Source organism: Homo sapiens, chromosome 12, assembly GCF_000001405.40.
Source record: "Homo sapiens chromosome 12, GRCh38.p14 Primary Assembly".
NCBI lineage: Eukaryota > Metazoa > Chordata > Mammalia > Primates > Hominidae > Homo > Homo sapiens.
The window spans coordinates 133,063,300-133,067,825 of record NC_000012.12 but is presented as its reverse complement, the minus strand read 5'-3'; positions in this window follow the sequence as shown (position 1 = coordinate 133,067,825).

The following is a 4,526-nucleotide window of genomic DNA, read 5'->3' as shown; positions in this document are numbered from 1 at the left end:
AAATCTGCCTTAGAAACAATGTCATGTCTGCAAGTGGGACATGGACTTGGCTGAGCTCACCTGTAGTCATTCCCTAGGATTTGTTAATATCCCAGGGGCACTACTACCACATTCTTTAGGTCTTTACGAGTCGCACTCATCTCTGTCACCCCCTCCAACTCTTCTCCCCAAAATGCAATATTGTTTTTAATTTATGATCTTACCTTCTGGGTGGGATTCAGAGGTTTTCACCTGGCCTTCCCCACTATAGTGGCTTTTAACCAAAGACCAATAGTCCAATGTAGAAAGTACTCCAACTGCCAAGGATGTCAATCCCAATTATACATTCGAAGACCAAGCAAATGAGTAATGCATGGGTCAGGGTCACTGGGACCATTGGCCCCACAGTAAGCCTAAATGTATGACCAGGCCTAAATACGCTCTCATGCTGGCGGAGGCATGATAATGCTATGAAAGTCTGGTATCAGTATCAACTCAGACTTTGCGTATAATAGTCTTTAAAATCTCTGGATATTACCCTTTACCCAGTGTATAATGAACCAAGTAAGTGCCCATCAGTCTTTGACGAAGGGCTGGAGGTGTCGTCACAGTATATATTTGCCGTGGTGTCATAGGGTCTTTCCCCTTGGGGACCCACCTACCTCTTTAGTGTCTTTCTGATCTGAATATTAGCTCAAGTTCAAGGATCATGGCATTTTACTGAGGCAACTGCCCTTAGCCTCTTGCTCACCCATTCTCATCTTCTTGGACTATGTTTACTAACAAATTTCCTGGTTGCCTGTCTTATCTAGTTTATCCTTGGGGAAGTTATGTTTTACTAACCATCTTCACAAGTTCCTGTGAATCAAACCCTCTTGGCTGTCACACTGACCTTACTATTTATTATAATAAATGTGAATCCCTGGCTTCTGCCAATTAAGACTCACCACCCGGCCTTTCTTCCTTCAATTGTGGGATCCTTACAGGTGCATTACTCCAAATACCTTTCAAGAAAATACTTCCCATTCTCCTGGAGGGATTCATTGCTTTTGGGAGTTAGCACAGTATTTGAGACTGTGACCTTTTCAGGCAGCTGCCAGCCAGTGCGTGAGCACCATGGGGGATAGGATGGCCTGGCATCATTTCTGCTCAGTGTGGAACTCCTCTGTGGTAAATATTTGTGCTTGCATTTTACTTTGAGCTGACAAGAAATATCCCATTCCAGAGAGACTCTGGCAAACGTGGCAGCCCAGCTGCTACATATTTCACTGGCAGTTACCTGGGAAAATGTCCAAATGGAGAAAAACACCTGGTTGGTGTGATGACCCAGGCACTTAAAAGGTACGGAAGGGGGCGGGTGCGGTGGCTCACGCCTGTAATCCCAGCACTTTGGGAGGCCGAGGCGGGCGGATCACAAGGTCAGGAGATTGAGACCATCCTGGCTTGTAGTACAGGTGTGGGGAGTTAGCAGACAGCCCTCGCCTGTCAAGCCCTTCATGGTCAGCCTTTGCTGCAGAAGAGCTTCATCCAAAGTCACCTCCCTTCCAGGTCAGGCTGTATTCAGTGACTGAAAGAGGTGTGAACATAGACTAGACCATGCTTGCCTGACACATGAGCCCTGTCAGGCAACACTCACTACAGAGATCCATTCTAAGTTGGGAGCAGTTTTGTAGGATCTGCATTGCAGTTTAACCTTTTCTTTTGCTTAATCCTACTTCCTTCTCTTTCCTTTCACAGATACTGATCTACAGTGAATACCTCCAAAGTATATCTCAGAGTCAACTTTCAGAAAACCCAACAGATTGCAGCTTGTACCATTATTGAGGTGCTCCAAAATAGCAAAGGATGGGCCAAAGTTTTGGAACTGGATTACTCATTATCCAGCTGACATACAAACCCCACCACTGTGGCAGGTGGAGCACAAAGAGGCCCCGGCATAAGGAGGTGGTTCAATCATTAAATAGTTCACCAATAGTAAATTAAGAGGAAGCACCTGTGTTATGTAACAGATGTTTGAACTTAGGAGATAGATTATTATTAAATAACAGGTTTGGGTGCTGATATGTTTTGGCTGTGTCCCCAGCCAAACCTTATCTTGAGTTGTAGCTCCCATCATCCCCCCGTGTCGTGGGAGGGACCTGGGGGAAGGTAATTGTATCATGGAGGTGGGTTTTTCCCATGCTGTTCTTGTGGTAGTGAATAAATCTCATGAGATCTGATGGTTTTATACGGGCAGTTCCTCTGTACACGCTCTCCTGCCTGTCACCATGTAAGACGTGTCTTTGCTCCTCCTTCATTGTGAGGACTTCCCAGCCATGTGAAACTGTGAGTTCATTAAACCTCTTTTTCTTTATAAATTACCCAGTCTGTGGTATTTCTTTATAGCAGTATGAGAACGGACTAATACAGTGGCTACTGCTGAAAGCCACTGATGCTCTACATAAAGATAACAAACAGTTGAGGACAAGTAATAGACAATTGATTGCAGTTGTGAAAGTTAGAGGGCCTTTGGCTGCACAAAAAGCAGCTCACATCTGCTGTATCACAAGTGGTTATTAGGTCCTTGCTTGCAGGAAAAAAAAACTATTGCATGAGGAAAGGCCACGTGGAAGCCTCAAACTACAATCCACCCAAGATAGTAAATAAGAACAATCTCTGGGGGGATAGTAGAGATTAGAGACACCCTTCAGGATATAAAAGATTTAGGAGTGATGGTTCCCATCATATCTCTAGTAAAAACTACTCATAACTGCAATTCAACTTCAAGCTCAACTAAGTAGTAGTCCTGATCACAGCCATTAGGCCAGATGTGATATTTCCACTAGAAGAGATTAATACAGCCTCAGATACATGGTATATGGCCACTGATCCAGTAAATGCATTTTAATATCCCGATTCAGAAAAAAGCATAAATGTTTGCATTCATATCAAGTGAAATGATGTGGGCAATGAAATGAACAACATACACGGCCGGGCACAGTGGCTCATGCCTGTAATCCCAGCACTTTGGGAGGCTGAGGCAGGCAGATCACGAGGTCAGGAGATCGAGACCATCCTGGCTAACATGGTGAAACCCCATCTGTACTAAAAATACAAAAAATTAGCTGGGCATGGTGGCAGGTGCCTGTAGTCCCAGCTACTCGGGAGGCTGAGGCAGGAGAATGGCGTGAACCTGGGAGGCGGAGCTTGCAGTGAGCCGAGATCGTGCCACCACACTCCCGCCTGGGCGACAGAGTGAGACTCTGCCTCAAAAAAAAAAAAAAAAAGAAAAGAAAGAAAAACAATGTACACAAAATGGACAATGATATAACTAGTTTTGCTCCCAGAGCAATATTAACTCTCTCAACCTCAGAGCTGTGGTTATGGGAAGCACAAGGTCCCCCTAGAGGATCATCTGTGATCTTCCTGCTTCCACACTGCAGTACCCAAACCCATGTGTTCTTTCTCTTTGAAAACACAGCACCGTATAAAGGTCAAACATCAAGGATTAGCCCCAGAGGGGGCACTTTCCACCTGAGGACAGAGTGTTCTAAATTATAAACTACAGATACAGCATGGAACTTTGTACCCTTGTGTCCAAGGACCAGCATGCCAGAAAAGCCACTCTTTGCTGGGGCATTGACACTGATCATCAGCAGGTATGGCTGCTGTTACACAACAGGGCAGGAGAAAAAAGGAGTGGAACTCAGGTGGCCCTCCTAGGTGCCTCTTTGAACTTCCTTGCCCCATTGTGATGTAAGTGGACAAATACAGCAACTTGGATCTGAAAAGGACATGGTGGCCAGGGCTCTGACCCCCTCAGGAATAAGGGTCTGGGACAAGCTACCACATAAGCCACTTATGTCCACAGAGGTGCTAACAGGGTGTGATGAGAATCTACAGTGACTAATACAGAAAGCAACTGCAACATTAGGGGCTGTGGTTTGTCCTATGAATCTTCCTTTTCTTAGTGTCTCTTCAGAGAGAGCCCCACCAGAATCCTAGAGCAGCAGCTTCCCAAATGTAACATAGACAAGGGGATCTAAGTGGTGGGAAGGATGGACTGTGTGATCAGAAACATGCATTATGACTCAGATCTCTCTTCAAGGAGGGACTTACCCAGGGCAGGGAGAGTCATCAGCAGAGAACCTCCACTTTTGAAGCTGGCCTCAGCTGAAATGAGCTGCTTCACCTAAGAAATCAGCAGCATCACTGAAGAAAAGAGCTGCTTCACCTAAGGCTGCTTCCTTCCCAGGGCAGCCTGAGTCTGGGTGATGGGGTGAGCAATGCAGGGTTGTAAGGGCCTGGCCGTCTTGGTTCAACACGAGGCACTCCAATGGGCAGTACATGTTCCAGAGTTCCCTGCTGGCTCCAATGCAGTGCAAATTGACTTCTTCCTCAGCTCAATGTTTTCTTTCTTCTTCTTCAATCATTTCACAGCTGTTGATCCTCAGTAGACATCTTGCACCCAAACTTCTCAGTAACCACTTCCAGAGAACAAGTTACGACATAGCCTGATTTCCTCTGTTAGAAATATTTGGGTTGTAACAAACACAACTTGAGCCAGA